At 32.5% G+C, this 16,512-nt stretch overlaps 1 protein-coding gene across 22 annotated transcripts in view; it reads left to right on the top strand.

Moving 5' to 3' along the window:
- TBCK (TBC1 domain containing kinase) overlaps window positions 1-16,512 on the top strand; it is a 275,085-nt gene that overhangs the window by 76,732 nt on the left and 181,841 nt on the right. For all 22 annotated transcript variants that reach the window (XR_001741353.3, XR_007057984.1, XR_007057982.1 and 19 more), the window contains 7 exons: window positions 3,144-3,193; window positions 3,433-3,562; window positions 4,585-4,683; window positions 6,302-6,364; window positions 6,888-7,014; window positions 8,173-8,223; window positions 9,506-9,589. Coding sequence is in view for 17 of the 22 variants with exons in the window: in NM_001163436.4 (NP_001156908.2) it covers window positions 3,144-3,193; window positions 3,433-3,562; window positions 4,585-4,683; window positions 6,302-6,364; window positions 6,888-7,014; window positions 8,173-8,223; window positions 9,506-9,589 (604 nt within the window). In the remaining 5 variants the exon portion in view is untranslated. The remainder of the gene's footprint in view (window positions 1-3,143; window positions 3,194-3,432; window positions 3,563-4,584; window positions 4,684-6,301; window positions 6,365-6,887; window positions 7,015-8,172; window positions 8,224-9,505; window positions 9,590-16,512) is intronic.

Below are 16,512 nucleotides of genomic sequence, written 5' to 3'. Positions count from 1 at the left end.
GAGATAGGCCTGTGAGTTTCTTTTCTTTTACTGCACGATGCTAGTTTGGTATCAGGGGTATACTAGTCTCATAAAATAAATAGGAGAGTGTTGCCTTTTTTTTTCTATTTTCTGAAAGACTTTATATGATTACATGTATCTATTTCTTGAATGTTTCATGGGAGTTAGCTTTAAAACCATATTGTAAGGGCTCCTTATCCCTATTTGGGTGTAATCATTACTTCAGTCTGCTTAATGGTTATAAGTTTACTCAGGTTGTTTATTTTGTTTTTAAATCATTTTCTAAAGTTATATGTTTTAAGGCCTTTAAACTTGCTCTTCCCACTGCCTGTAACACTCTTCCGGTGCTTCCATTTCTTTTCTTTACATTCTCTGCTAAAATGTCACCTATTGGTGGGCTTTTGTTGGCCATCCTTTATAAAATAGCAACGCCACACCTATCCCTTGTATTCTTTATCCTGTTTTGTTTTTTTCCTCCATTGTACTTCTCTTCATTTGATGTGTTATATGTTTTCTTCCTATATAATAACTAAATGAAGGAATGAATCCTGTTATTATGTAGAAGCCCTATTAATATCATAGTAAAGTATAGGGGAGAAGTATTTTATAATCTTATCATTAAGTCCCAGTTTTTTAGTGAGCCTGTGTTCCTGGGCTGTGACCTTCACAAGGCTTCTCAGCTTCTCCCACTCCTCCTCCCCAACATGAGACAGGAAAGCTAGAGGGGCTGGAGTTGGGTATTTCTGTTCCCCTACATCAAAGACTAGAGTGGACTGGAGTTGAATATTTCCTTCCCAAGTTGGTTAGATTTCTGTAAAACCCAAGTTAGTTAAGACCTGACCGAAGAGTTTCCCTTTAAGACAGGCCTCTCAAGGAAAACAGAGTACTCTGGCTGTATTTCAGATTGGTTACTTTCCACCTCCCCCTGCAGGAAGTCAAGGGTATTTTTCTCAGATCTTCACCCTGAGAACCTGGTGGGACCTGCAGAGGTTAATCTCATGGAAGCAAGGAAGGCCTCCCTAAGGCAGGGCCTCCAGAAGTTTTTCTCTCTCGTATTAGTCTGTGCTCAGCCTGCAAGTATTAGATAATTACCTTTTAATTGATCTTAACAGACTCCAGCAGTGGCTCTGTTCCTGTTGAGCTGTGATTCCCTGTATTCGAGGGTCCCTCCAGCTTTGAGGACATCACAATGCTCTGATTCTGACAGATGTGAGACGAGTTCTTGATTTTCAGTTTGTTCAGCATTTTTCTTGTTAGAGGAAGAATGATGCCTTCTAAGCTGTTTATATTTTGTATAAGAAAGTGGAAGTCCTAGCCTTTTTATTTTTAACCATTCATAGCCAAAGCTGAAATAGGTACCTATCCTTGTTTTCTGTCTAAGCCAGCAATTCCCCTAGTTTTTTCTTTACGTGGCTTTAGAAGGGTCTTCTCCATTCTGAAGGTCTGTTATGTAGGTTCCCAAACCCTTATCCCATTATGGTCTAAATCTCTAGACCACAGTTATTAACTACTTTCTCTCTAGGCCTGGTTTTATATCTGTTATCACTGCATTTTCCTTATGTTTTAAAGCTTATCTAACCATTTAATATTTTACATGTTATATAGTAGGAGAGTATTAGAATCTCTTGTCTGCCATAATGCCAGCAACAGAAAATTAAAATATATAACTATTCCTACTCAGTACTCTGAATTTATAATCTCTTTGAAAGAAAGGATGTGGAAAGTAACAAAATAAGTAATAATACCCTGCAGCGAACAATAAATTACATCCAAAATATATGATTTCAGCTGATTTTGTTTTGCTCTTAATTTGTTTCTTCAATTTAAATATAATCCAAGTTAAATGAATGTAGGCTTCAAATCTAAATGTCTCAATTCCTTTACAGTTCTACTTGTGAAATTTAAAATACTCTTCTTCTGTAGTTATTAAGAAATATTAATTTGCTGAATCTTAAAATGATATGGAAACCATATAATAATTTTTATCTTTAGTGTTTTCATTCACCTTTTAAAAATCCTAATGTGCTAAGTTTTTATTTAGAAAAGACAGACAAGATACTTAATTAGATAAAATCTATGACATACAGTATACTGAAAACTAATCTTTAAAAAGATTTATGTGTATTAATAATGCAGTAAAACTTGGGAAAATTTTATTTCCTAACTTAAAATTTTAATATATGAAAGATATACCTAAAGGTTTTTTAAAATAGGATAAGTACATAGCACATTGATTTTTAGAGTAGAACCAGGCATAAATTCAGTGTTTGCTGAATTCTTAGTTTGAGTAAAAGATTTTTCTTAAGCTTTAAAAATTCTGGGAATAACTCACATGGGTGCACAAAGACTCTAATCAGCAGAAGATCAGTGCTTGCTGCACACACAGCTTGAATTTCTATGTCAATCCCCATAGGAGCAGACATTCTGCCTTCAAGTTGGAAGTTGAACAGCAGAGCAGCAGGCAAGATGGCATTAACTTTAATCACCTTGCTTAGGATGTGGTTAACATTTTACTTTACTACTGCCTTCCTGCTTATGATTTTGAAGAATACCTGTAATCCTGTCAGGGTTGTTATTTGGAACAACATTTATTAAAATGATTTTGTCATTAAGTGAACTCTCTCCATTGATTTATTAGCTATTTGAATCATACATGTTCAAAGTATGATGTGAGAAATATTTTGGAATCCTTTTTCTAGCACCTTTCTTTTTGACTTAGCTTGTATTATGCCAAAGCAAAAATAAATCTAAGTTGTTCTTTTAGTATATACATGGCTATATAGTACCTCTTTTTAATCATCTTTCTTCATATAACTTAAAATTTTTTTCCCATTCATTAAGTTTTATACTAGTGCTAGTAATTCTGAGTTCTGTTTGGAAAATATATCATGATAAGTGTCTAACATTTATGAGTGATACCTATAGATAAGAAAAAAATAGTTGTTTTTCACAGCCAAACCGTAATCAGTAGAGGCATTGTATGCTTGCATGTTTATGGTAAGAACTGATTTTTAGACTCTATTTTATACTTTTCTAGGTCCCTTTATAAATTTATAGTTGTTATATTACTTGTCTTTTTAAACACAGATCAGGGTTTCTGCCCAATATGTTTATACATAAATATTTTGTCTTTAAATACACAGAGATTGAAAGATGTTGGTGGAGAAGCATTTTACCCATTACTTGAAGATGAGTGAGTATATGTAGTCTCATTTTAGATTTATTTTTCTTTCTATTTATATTAGATTTATAAGAATTTTATACATTTTCTTTGAAAAATGTTTCCTAAATAGAAAATAATAACCTGAGGTTTTGGTTTATTAAAATTTTGTGCTTTTTCTGAAATCACTGTTGGTAGAGTTAGGAAAAAAAAAGAAAATTTTGTACCTTTTGTCCATTTTTTTTTTTTATTGCTTTTGTTCTCTTTTACAGCCAGTCTAATTTACCTCATTCAAACAGCAATAATGAGTTGTCTGCAGCTGCCACGCTCCCTTTAATCATCAGAGAGAAGGATACAGAGTACCAACTAAATAGAATTATTCTCTTCGACAGGCTGCTAAAGGTATGGATTCTAAAGTATAAAGTGTTAACAATAGCCCATATGGAATTTTTTTTTAATTTTTTCAATAATTCTTAGGGAATCTTGAGTAATAAGAAGATTAATTTTTATGACCTATCTTGTTCAGTTAGCTTTCTTTCATTTTAAAAATGATACATGTTCTTAGTAAGTAAAATTAAAAAGTAAAAACAAGGTGTGGTAACATATGCAAAATCATGTTAAAAAAGGAATAATGTCTTTATTTTTTAAAAGAAGACTTAAAAGTCAACAGGAAAAACATCAATATTGAAACAGAGAAATGGATAGAGTACATAATATAAATACAGCTAGTAAATCTATGCAAATTGTTCATCTTCACTGGGAATGAAAAAAATACAAATTAAAATAGGAGTGATTTTCCATACTGCATTAGCAAAGTGAGCACAGATGCAATGATATTGGAACTCTCATTCTGTTGGAATAAATGTGAATGTACTGAAACATTTTGTAAAACAATTTGAATGCATATATCAAGAACCTTAACAACATCTGTTGCCTTTGTCCTATTAATACTCTTCTAGAAATTTCTCCTAAGACACAAATTTATAAAAGTATAAATTTATATGCAAAATGCGGAAGTACTCATAATAGTAGCTTATAGTTATTGATCACTTCTCTATCACCACGTTTTTAACAGAGTGCTTTACCTGCATTATCTTATTTAACCCGTATGAGACTGGTACTATTATCCTCCATCTGACTCATTTAAAATCCCCCCAGAGCATCAAATAGAGAGGAAGGATTAAAAATCAGGTAGAATCAGCTGCTCTTCTTAATTATATAATACGAGTTTTTCAAGGTGTTAGGGATTCATTCATTCTACTGCTTATTTATGTGTATTAATAACACCAGACACAATAATTGCACATACTTTGAAATTTATTGCAAGTCACTTAAGTTTTATCATGGGTATATTCAGAACTGTCTAGACTAAAAGATGGCACTAGGTAATTTGAGACGTTTTCATTTCTTTTTTGATATCATAGGCTTATCCATATAAAAAAAACCAAATCTGGAAAGAAGCAAGAGTTGACATTCCTCCTCTTATGAGAGGTTTAACCTGGGCTGCTCTTCTGGGAGTTGAGGTAAGGAAAAAAGAAAAGGTTAGAAGCTGATTAATTATGCAAAGAAAGGATGGAGAAGGAGAGTGCTTTCCAAATATATATTTTTCTAGTTATTAGAAAATTATATAGTAAAATATAAGCATTAGAATATTTGGCAATTTTAAGTGGAAAGAATATAGGAAAACAATAGAATAGAAAAATATAATGGAGGGTTTATTAGATTATGCTATTTAATGTTTCATTTAATAGTGGTCACAGAAAATGTTTTGATTATTACCATAGAATATTTTAAGAATATATATCAGTTATAAATGGGTAGTCCTGCTTATAAAGTATGCTTGTTATAGAATATGATTGTTTATAAATGGTTCTGTCTAAATTTGGAGAAATCTTTCCATCTAATCTGACTTGTCAAAATCACTAACATAATTTAGTGACTTTTGGCACACCTATTCCACCTGGACTATGCTACCAAGAGAAATAGCACTTTCTCTGTGGTTGTGAGGAAAGATGTGTCACAAATTATGGTGGCCTGCAATACTAACAGAGAACTCCGATGACATCAATCATAATAATGGGCCAAATTCTTGCCAGATTTTTTTCATTTCTTGTCAATTTCTTTGTCATCTTGTCTTCTTATATTCTCTTATAGATAATTATCCTTCCTTTTTAAAGAATTCCAGTCTGGAATGGTGGCACATGCCTGTGGTCCCAGCTTCTTGGAAAGCTGAGGCAGAAGGATTACTTGAGCCCAGGAGTTCGAGGCTGCAGTGAACCTTGGTTGTGCCACTGCACTCTAGCCTGGGTGATAGAACTAGACCCTGACTCTAAAAAATTTTTAGAAATCCTCAACTATTTTTAATCCTTTTCAATCCTCTGTTTGAAGAATTTCCTTTCTTCATTCCTGATTCCCTTGATAAGAGTCTACAAATACCTTTGAGTTTAGTTGGTTACTTTACAAGAATGCCAATTGTTCAATATCATACATTAATCATTAGACTTGTAGAACAATATAATGCTAAAGTTCAAGAGGACTTCAGGTATCAGGTTGTCCAACTCTCATTAAATTAATGTCTCAAAGAAGTTGATAATAGCCGATATTGGAGTTTGAACCCTACTTCCTGGCTCTTTCTCTACCATGATAATAAGCCAGAATAATAATATTTTTTTCATGCTTGGTCCTATAGAACACGACCAAAATTTGTAGTCGTTCATTCAGTTATTTCTAAATTTTAACAGTCTAACTGAAAAGCGTAAATGACCTCTTTAGGCCCTAATGATTCTATCATGTAATTATAGATATAACATAACAAGGTTGTGTTATGTTGTAGGGTCTGGGAGGTTGGCCAAACATACTTACTAGCTAAGTAATTAATCCATGACATTTATGTTCTGGTATGTATAATTCAAGAGTTTGCCTCAGCAAAATGGCAAATTGTCACTTATCAGAGACCTTCATCACAGATTGTCAAAGACACAGAGAATTTCTCTTAAGATGAGTTCTACCCTGAGTTTGAATGTGCTTATCTGTAGTTGGGTAGGTTTCCAAAGATAGATATTTGTAAAAAATAGATTTCTCTATATTACTATTTGTATTAAGGATATGATAAATTAATATATCTTCTTTTATTTTTTGCAGGGAGCTATTCATGCCAAGTACGATGCAATTGATAAAGACACTCCAATTCCTACAGATAGACAAGTATGATTTAGGTTTTCTTAAGCAACCTAAGATAATTCTGCCAAATATTTAAATTTTAGGAAGGAGCATGAAGAAAGCCTCTTTCTCTCATGAATACAGAGACACTGCTGCATACATATATTGTTAGAGAAACCATAACTCTTATGCTTATAAATTAGTAAGAACAATACCTTAAAGGACTTTAGGTCAAGTTACCTTTTTAAAAATACTGTAGTTCTTCATCTGAAAAATTTGCCCTTCATTTGGACCAGATTATAAAGGAAAATATTTTTGAAAAGTATATTAACACATACATACCTTTCAAAAGAAATGGTCTAATTCTCCTGTTTAGGTATACATACAACTTCTTTAGTCTTTCCATAAGATCAATTAAAAAATTCAAAAAATTAGGCACTTAAGAAGTTGGTCTGTTTTGAAATTCATATTATAGCTTCTCCTTTTCCTTATTTAATGAACAAGGATTAAGGGTTTATTGCTGATTACACAATTACTGTTTCACCTTATTATTTTGCTATTTTAACAGATTGAAGTGGATATTCCTCGCTGTCATCAGTACGATGAACTGTTATCATCACCAGAAGGTCATGCAAAATTTAGGCGTGTATTAAAAGCCTGGGTAGTGTCTCATCCTGATCTTGTGTATTGGCAAGGTAACTTTTGTAGTCATTAAAACTCCTCTGGAGTATTAGAAAATTGTTGCATAACTGACATTTAAAAAAATTAAAATATCTAAACATCCTTGTCTTTGGGGAAAGTCAATATTGACGCTCTGATTCATTTTTTGAGAGGTTTACATCCAAACATTTTTAAAAATCTTTGTCTAAATCCTAGTAGATATCATTAAAAAACATAATATTTAATATACAAGTTGATTAGCAAAGCAGAAAGAATATTTGGAGCTGTTGTGATCTTTGTGGATACATTTTTTAAACGCCTATGCAAATTGTTAAATCAATTGGGGCTAGTTGAGATTCTTATAGTTAATGATTTCTAATTTATACTTACCATGGCTATTAGCACTTAAAAATAGTCTATCATCCTAAAGTCCTCATTTTATTTATTGTCTTTTTTTTCTTGTATCTTTAATGGTTCATATCTTTTATTTTTAGCTTTGCCATTATTATTTTTTGTGTTTGATAAAGAATGAGAAACCCATTCCAACCCTATTTTTGAATGTGTTGTTATAAGTGGCTACTTTTATATTTCAGTTCTCTATTTCTTACCATAGTTTAAATAAAGCTGTTATTTTTCTTAGCTCTGTGTATTTCAGAGCTATTCTATATCCTCCTAACAGTTGTAGGTAGATTTATGTACATTCTTTCAACATGACAATACATGCATATCATTATTATCAATAAAAGAAATGTCATATATTTGGAATCCACTTCACAATTTTTAAAGAATTTTTTTTCATAATCCCAAAGAAAAACAACATAGGCAAAACTCCATGTCCTAGATGAGAAAGTATGCCAGAAGATGTTAAGTAATTGCCAAGATTGTACATTTAGAGTCAGAGATGGGACAATATCCAAAGCATTGTAACATTCTTACATTTTTCTATTATTGTATTTCTCTTTTCAACTCATAATAATATAGATAATAATAACTGATTCATATTGGACACATACTGTGTGCTACACTATCACTCACTCCCCACAGTAACTCATGAAGTAACATATTTCTGGATGGATAATACTTCTAATGTTTAATCTACTTGGAGGTAATGCAAAGAATTGAATAAGGTATATATCTTCAATTCTACTAGATTATATTTATTTGACTTCTTTCTCCCAACCCCTCTGTGTTAGGTCTTGACTCACTTTGTGCTCCATTCCTATATCTAAACTTCAATAATGAAGGTAAGCCTCTTTAACATTTAAATAATCATTGCGCATAATATTCTAAAATATTTGATTCACACATGAAAGGTTTTTGTTTTTGTTTTAAGGCTCTTATTCTCTCCCTGGTAGATTTCTGTGAAATAATCTATTATAGACTCATTTTAGAGATGTGAAGGATTAATTTATTACTGGAGAGTTTCAGTTATGCTAAAGCTATTACTAGAAATTTAGTGGAATTTGATTATTCTAAATTCTTTAGAGATTAATTTTTGTCTAAGTATACTTTCTAAAGAATTTGTAAAGAAATCAATTATGGTGGCACTTTTCCATAACCTTGCATCTCCAAAGCCTATCATTTTGGATACCTCTTCCTTAATGAAGACTTTTCTCATTCTCCTTCTTCAGCCCATAAAGCACTTTGTATTTATAAAAATTTATCTTGTGTCTATCTTGTATTCTAATACTTATATACTAATGTTGTAATATTTTTTGACAGCCCTTTTTCAATGGCAGGTTTTTTTTTTCCTGCCCTTCTGCAATAACTTTATTATTGTAGGCTTTTCAATAAATACTAAATTCGATTAACTCCAATCCCTGAAATCACATATAGAGTGTGTTACTGTATATAGCTTGAATGTCTAGATGCCTTATCTGAAGATCTCCCTATTTTCAGATTCTATTTCATGACCGAATTTGCATCGGTTTCTGGAATTAAGTAAAAATAGCATAATCCCAGAGAAATGAAATTTTACTCTTTGAATTGTTTTTAAAATACTCTGTTCTGTGATATTCTCACTCATTAATCTAGACTAGAGTTTTTTACTATGTTTAGTTAGGCATAGCCAATGATCACTCATACTGACCCAAACATAGTCAGGGGTCTGTGTTTGAAAATGTGAATTATAACACTATTCCTAAATCCATAGTTCGTAGACTCTTGTTTGCATCAGCAGCAGTTAAGGATCGTGAGGTCCGTATAACTTACTAATAATGATCATGCTTAGAAATTTTAAGAAACAACGTTTAGGTAATAAAAGTTGTGATTATTGTGTGATAATGATTGCCATGCTAGTTTGAAATTGAAGTTATAGAATTATTATTTTTTGTTGTCTAAAATAAAAATATTTTCTATTTTAAAGCATAGAGGCTTTTATCTCTTAATTTTGTTTTTCTAGCACTTGGCTATCATAACTGTTATTTAATAGTAGTTTCAAGGAATATGTGCTAAGTGAATGCATTACTGATGGTCATCTACCCTGTTAACTAATTTTTTACATGCCTTTGCCTTATTCTCTTTTAGCCTTGGCTTATGCATGTATGTCTGCTTTTATTCCCAAATACCTGTATAACTTCTTCTTAAAAGACAACTCACATGTAATACAAGGTAAGCAAATGTCTTCCATGTCTTTCTACAGAGAAACTACTGATGTACTGGTGTGCTGATGTAATATTTGATTAAATTTAAGATTTTGACCCCAAAAATACGATGATGGTCCATCCAATAAAATCCATAAAGAGAAATTAGAAAGTTCAGTCTTTCCTCCAAATCCACAAAGAATTATGGTATTTTTCTAATGGATATTTGATATCTGATCTCATTTCAGTTCAATTGCAGGCATGCGAGTTTGAGAAAATAAGAGACTGCCGTTTGTGTTTTTCACAATCAAAATTGCTCACAAAAAGCTTCACCATGGGCAAGTCCATTGTAAATTAGTAAAAAGTTTAAATGTTTAATTGTGTAAGCAGAGTATTAAAAATACTTTACATTTATCTCATTTCCCATGCATGCATACCCAAAATATACTCCCTCTTTCTTCAACTTCCCTAAAATATACCTCCTCCTTAAGAGTTCATGTCATAGCGTAACCTGTTTGTGAATTCATTCAGGACAACTTTAGCCACATTCAAACTTGTACTATAATTTCCTGAACTCTTTTTTGGAAGTAATAGAATAGAAGTTAAAAATACGCAGATTTAGATAGAAAAAAAAATCCTAAAATTTATATGGACCCACAAAAGACCCAGAATAGCCAAAGCTGTCCTGAGCAAAAAGAACAAAACTGGAGGAATCACATTATCTGACTTCAAATTATACTACAGAGCTATAGTAACTGAAACAAAATGGTACTGGCATAAAAACAGACACATAGACCAATAGAACAGAATAGAGAACCCAGAAGCAAATCTATACACTTACAATGAACACATTTTCAACAAAGGTGTCAAGAACATTCACTGTTCTTAAAGTCTCTTCAACAAATAGTTCTGAGGAAATTAGATCTTCATATGCAGAAGAATGAAACTAGACCTCTATCTGTCAACATACACAAAAATCAAATCAAAATGGTTTAAAGTCTTAAATCTAAGACCTCAAATTATGAAACTACTATAAGAAAACACTGGGGAAGCTCTCCAGGACGTTGGTCCAGGCAAAGATGTCGAGTAATACCCCATAAGCAGAGGCAAACAAAGCAAAAATGGACAAATGAGATCACATCAAGTTAAAAACCTTCTGAACAGCAAAGGAGACAATCAACAAAGTTAGGAGACAACTCACAGAATGGGAGAAAATGTTTGAAAACTACCCACCTGATAAGAGATTAACAGCCAGAATATATAGGAAGCTCAGATAACTCTATAGAAAAAAAATCTAATAATCTGATTTTAAAAAGGGCAAAAGATTTGATTACACATTTCTCAAAAGAAGACATACACATGGCAAACAGGCTTCTGAAAAGGTGCTCAACATCATTGATGATCAGAGAAATTCAAGTCAAAACTACAATGAGATATCGTGTCACTCTGCTTAAAATGGCTTTTACCCAAAAGATAGGCAATAACAAATGCTGGTGAGGATGTAGAGAAAAAGGAACCCTCATGCACTGTTGGTGGTAATGTAAGTTAGTATAACCACTATGGAGAACAGTTTAGAGGTTCTTCAATAAACTGAAAGTAAACCTACCATATGATCCAGCAATCCTACTGCTAGGTATATACCCAAAAGAAAGGAAATGAGTGTCAGAGAGATATCTGCACTCCCATGTTTATTGCAGCACCATTCATGATAGCCAAGATTTGGAAGCAACCTAAGTGTCCATCAACAGACAAGTGGGTAAAGAAAATGTGGCACTTAATACACAATGGAGTACTATTCAGCCATAAGAAAAAATGGGATCCCGTCATTTTCAACAACATGGTTGGAACTGGAGGTTATTATGTTAAATGAAATAAGCCAGGCACAAAAAGACAGGCTTCACATGTTCTCACTTATTGGTGGGATCTGAAAATCAAAACATTTGAACTCATGGAGATAGAGAGTAGAATGATGGTTACCACAGGCTGGGAAGGGTAGTGGAGGGTAGGAGTTGGAGGATACACATTGTGAATGGGTAAAAAAAAAAAAATAACCGAAAGAATAAATAAGACCTTGTATTTGCTAGCACAACAGGGTGACTACAGTTAATAATAATTTAATTGTACATTTTAAAATAAGTAAGTATATAATTGGATTGTTTTTAACACAAAAGAAAAATACTTGAGGTGATGGATACCTCATTTTCCCTGAATGAGATTATGCATTGCATGTCTATATCAATGTATCTCATTTACCCCATAAATATATGCATGTTCTATGTACCCACAGAAATTGAAAACAAAACAAGAAAACCCACACTTTTAAAACAGAAAAGTGTTTAAAATTTAAGTTTCACTACTTATTATTTAAGTTGTGTAGGTAACATTTTTCTCATATCTACAATAAAAATATTGTAGAGGTTAAACATAATATGTAAATTTCTGGTACATAGAAATATTCAATAAGTGCTATTATTTATTTCTTAATGTTACTGTTACTGTAAGTACTAGTTTTTGCTAGTGTTATTATTGTGACATTTTATACTGTTTTATATCCTTTCAACAAGATTCTGTGTATTTTAAGGCCAGGGAATTTTCTTATAGTTTTTCTGTTCTTTTAGAGCAGACTACAAAGCTGCTCACTCTCCCATTTACTGTTTTTGTGATGCTTATCAGATATCCTTTTGATCTTGTTTTTAACTATATATAATTCTTCCTACGTTATTTTAAACAACTTGAACCTGATTCTGTATTATATATATCATTATGGTTTTATGTAATTCTCCAGTTTTCATAAGTGAAGTAGGAATACTAGATGTTGTATCTGATTCATCAAAAATTCTGAGTAAGTGGGATCTCAATTAGTAATAATTTTACTTGGTTAGAAATGAATATAAAATTAGAGTATCAGAGGTTGATATAATGGGAAAATAATTAGAAAGGAAGCAGAAAGGAAAATGTAAACTCAAAAAAGTAAAGCTAAAAGTAGGAGGAACAGAATATGGATAAATAGCTTAGCACATAAAAACATTTGTTTTTTCAGCATCATGTACCTTGAGGTATAGAGAAAAATAATTAAAACTTTTTAAAAATTTTGTGTTTACAAGCAAATTGAATCATGTGTTCATTCCTATATATCTGTGTCTACAGTGTAGATAGGAGTTAGAAATGGAAATAATGATCCATTATCTCTATGTTAATTTTGAAACGCAAAATCCATTGGCTTTTGTATTTTGAAATGGTTTGGTTTGACATAGATGTGTCCAATTCTTTGCACATTTTCTACAGTGTGGACTTGTATAAAGTTGAGATTAATTCAAGAAAGATTTTTAGAAGGTACAGCTTTTTGCTTTGACTTTTTCTAATTAAGGAGGAGTGCATTTTGTAGTGGAAGTTGTTTTTTGCTTATAGATTACCTTAATAAGGTCATTGACTTCAAGGACCATGTTATACCTTCTTCAAAATTTATGAAGTAATGTTCCATAAGGTTGTGTCCTGTACCTTATTAAGAGGGATGTGCCCCATTCTTACTAATAGCTTCCTTCTTACCCTTATCAGTGATGTTTATTATAGAATTGATAGTGTACTCTTTCAGATTTCAGTTAATAGAAAAATGAGTGGATTTAATAAAACCTTGGGTAATATCACAAGATTTCAGAAACTATGCAATTTAAATAATCTGTCAAATGGTGACCAAAGACACTGAGAAGATTAAAAGTAAAAAATAAGCAGGTTAGTATTTGTGCCGTATAAAAAGAAATTTAATAATCATCAGCTAAATATGTCAGCAATATAATGCTGTTAGTTTCAAAGCTAACATGAAATTGTAGTGTTTACTGAACTTTCCAAATATAAAAGCCCAATTAATATACAGTGTTGGGCTAAATTTCTATACTTTAGAAAGATGAAAATATTGGGGAATCCTCAAATAAGCAATAAAAACAGGACTTATAACATGAGCTGATTAGACTGTTTCTTAGATGGCTGGATGATACCTGGCTAGATGGCCACCTCTTAAAAGACCATATGAGACATCTTCTGTTACATTGATTTCTATTTCTATTTCTAGATGCCTGTTACAAAACATAGAAATTATCTTCCTCCCAAAATTTTATTTTTCTACTGTTTCATATCTCAGATACATACATTGTATATTAATAATGAATTTCCAATATGAAAAAGACAAATTTCCACACTTTCTAATTGCAGGCTTTTTTAACACACTTTTTTGATACAAGGTCTGGCTCTTTCACCCAGGTTAGAGTGCCATGGCACAATCTCAGCTCACTGCAACCTCCACCTCCTGTGCTCAAGCCACCCTTCCACCTCAGCCTCCTGAGTAGCTGAGACTACAGGCATGCATCACCACATCTGGCTAATTTTTGTATTTTTTTGTAGAGATAAGAGTTTGGCCATGTTCCCCAGGCTGATCTCAAACTCAGGAGCTCAAGCCATTCGCTCACCTCTCCCTCCCAAAGTGCTGGAATTACAGGCTTGAGCCACTGCGGCCAGCCTTAACACACTTTTAAAAGGCATACTATACAGATATGCAAGACAATGTCTTGTTTAATTTATTAAATTAGAGACTGTAGTGTACACAACATGAATTTGGAGAGACTTGTCAGAAAGGCCAAAAAAGCTGGGCGCAGTGGCTCACGCCTGTAATCCCAGCACTTTGGGAGGCCGAGGAGGGCAGATCACGACGTCAGGAGTTCGAGACCAGCCTGGCCAACACGGTGAAACCCTGTCTCTACTAAAAATACAAAAATAGCTGGGCATGGTGGCAGGCGCCTGTAATCCCAGCTACTTGGGAGGCTGAGGCAGGAGAATCACTTGAACCTGGGAGGTAGAGCTTGCAGTGAACCGAGATTGCGCCACTGCACTCCAGCCTGGGTGACAGAGCGAGACTCCGTCTCAAAAACAAACAAAAAAAAGACCAAAAAGACTGTTCTTTAGTTTGATCAATTTTATCAGTAATACATTTTAACATCCAATATTATAATTAAAAGACCTCTCAACAATTATTGATTGCTTGTTTCTCTAAGTATTAATAATTTCCTCAGTTATGATTTCTATAAAATTGCATTTGAAATCTTGAATTGGTATTTAATTTTGAACTTCTTTAAAGCCACCATAAATGTTCTTTAATATTATGCTAAAAAAAAATCAATAGACAAGGTGTTTTAAATCATTTGTCCAAATTTTATATTGACCATATGTTACATAAGAAAAAAAACAGTTTCAATTAATTTAGTCTTTCAGTATATAACTGTGCTGACACTGTGCCATGCCAAGTGCTGCTTACAGAATTGAGATTCTTTCAATAAATAACATTTATTCCTTTCCCAAAGGACTTCATACTATGATACGGTAAATAAATGTGAAAATGACTACTTATAAGTCTAGGAGACAAGTATACATACTATTATGTTAGCACAGAGCAAGAAGTTTAGGGGGTTTCAATTTTCTTGTGTGTGGTAGCAAAAAGAAGAGATAGCATTCTGGAAAGGTTTCATAAAAGGAAGATACTTGATGAATTTGAAGTTTGAGTAGGAATTTCATTGGTGAGAATAGGTAAAGACATTCTTAGGACAGGGAACAAAGAAGAGGACTGAAGTAAAAGAGTGTAAAATGGGATGATAAAATATCCACTAATCAAATCTGATCTGTCGGGTAGGAAAGAGAGATGGAAAGCTAAAGAAGGAGCTGAAACAGTACACTGTATATTGGTTACTAAAGTTTGATAGAACAGTGGTTTATTTTTCTTCAAAGTGTTTATTTTAGGCTTAGAATTAGAAATAGCTCTTATTAGTTTACTTCTTTGTTACTGTGTTTCTCTTTATTTTGTAGAGTTTTAAGCTTTACACTTCAAAGTAGTAATTGATTTTTGGTTGGCATAAATATCACATGTACACTTTCTTCTCCACAAATTTTGGGAAAAATCCTAAGTCGTAAGAAACTAATCCATTTAAAAGCCAATTGTAGAAATGCATATTTACTGAATCTTTGAATTGCCTTTCCGGAAGTTAAAAGTTTCTATGTTCAATAGCAACTTGAATTGTTCTTTGAAAAAAAAAAGTTATTATTACTATACGCTAATAGAACTTAAAATATTTTGTATTTTAAAGTTTTTTCTAAAATATATATACACTCATGAGACTCTAAAATGCTTTACCTCTTATAGATCAGTAAAAGAATGCTCAATTTAATCAAGATACCCTGTTTTTTTAAACTTAGTTCTATTGACTTGTTACCTGCAGATATATTTAAGATATAATAAATTTAATTACTTTCTGACTTAAATGAATATTTCTTATTATCGTTTGTACTATCAAATTATCACCAGAAACATTGTTATTGAGTTGACAAACTATCAATACATGGGAACATTTAAAAATAACATACTGATTATGCAACTCAGGATTGGCTGTTGAGATTATCTAAGATTATTAAAATTATTCTAAGGTTCAGAATCTTAGAGTATTAATTGTATGGAAAAAGATGGAGGAATTAGAAAGAAATCTGTTGATTAGCATTTCAGCCATATTGGAAAACAAGTTTATAACTTGCAGGACAGGTATATCTTAGGCTATTGAGGAGAAAGGCAGCTTCAGGCCAGTGAGGAACCAGGTAGACTATATTTGGCCAATGAAACTTTGGCACATTAAACATACTCTTGTAGTGTTTTGGAAGATGTGGTTGCTACAAGTCGGAAAGGTAAAGATAAGAGGAGATATCATATAAATCTGGGAAATTAGGAGAAAGTTTCCCCAATTTTCTGTTTACCTGTATATCTTTCTAAATCTTTTGAGGGAAAGAATCGTATGTTCTTCACTGTGATGTCCCCAACATTTAATATAGTACCACATATAGCTAGATTGACTGTACAACTAAATTGGGATGTTTCTGAGAGTTTAAAGGGGCACTGTACCAGATGCTGGGTCTACAGATGCC

Source organism: Homo sapiens, chromosome 4 (genome assembly GCF_000001405.40).
Source record: "Homo sapiens chromosome 4, GRCh38.p14 Primary Assembly".
Classification (NCBI taxonomy): Eukaryota; Metazoa; Chordata; class Mammalia; order Primates; family Hominidae; genus Homo; species Homo sapiens.
This window is presented reverse-complemented; position numbering and strand designations above follow the sequence as displayed.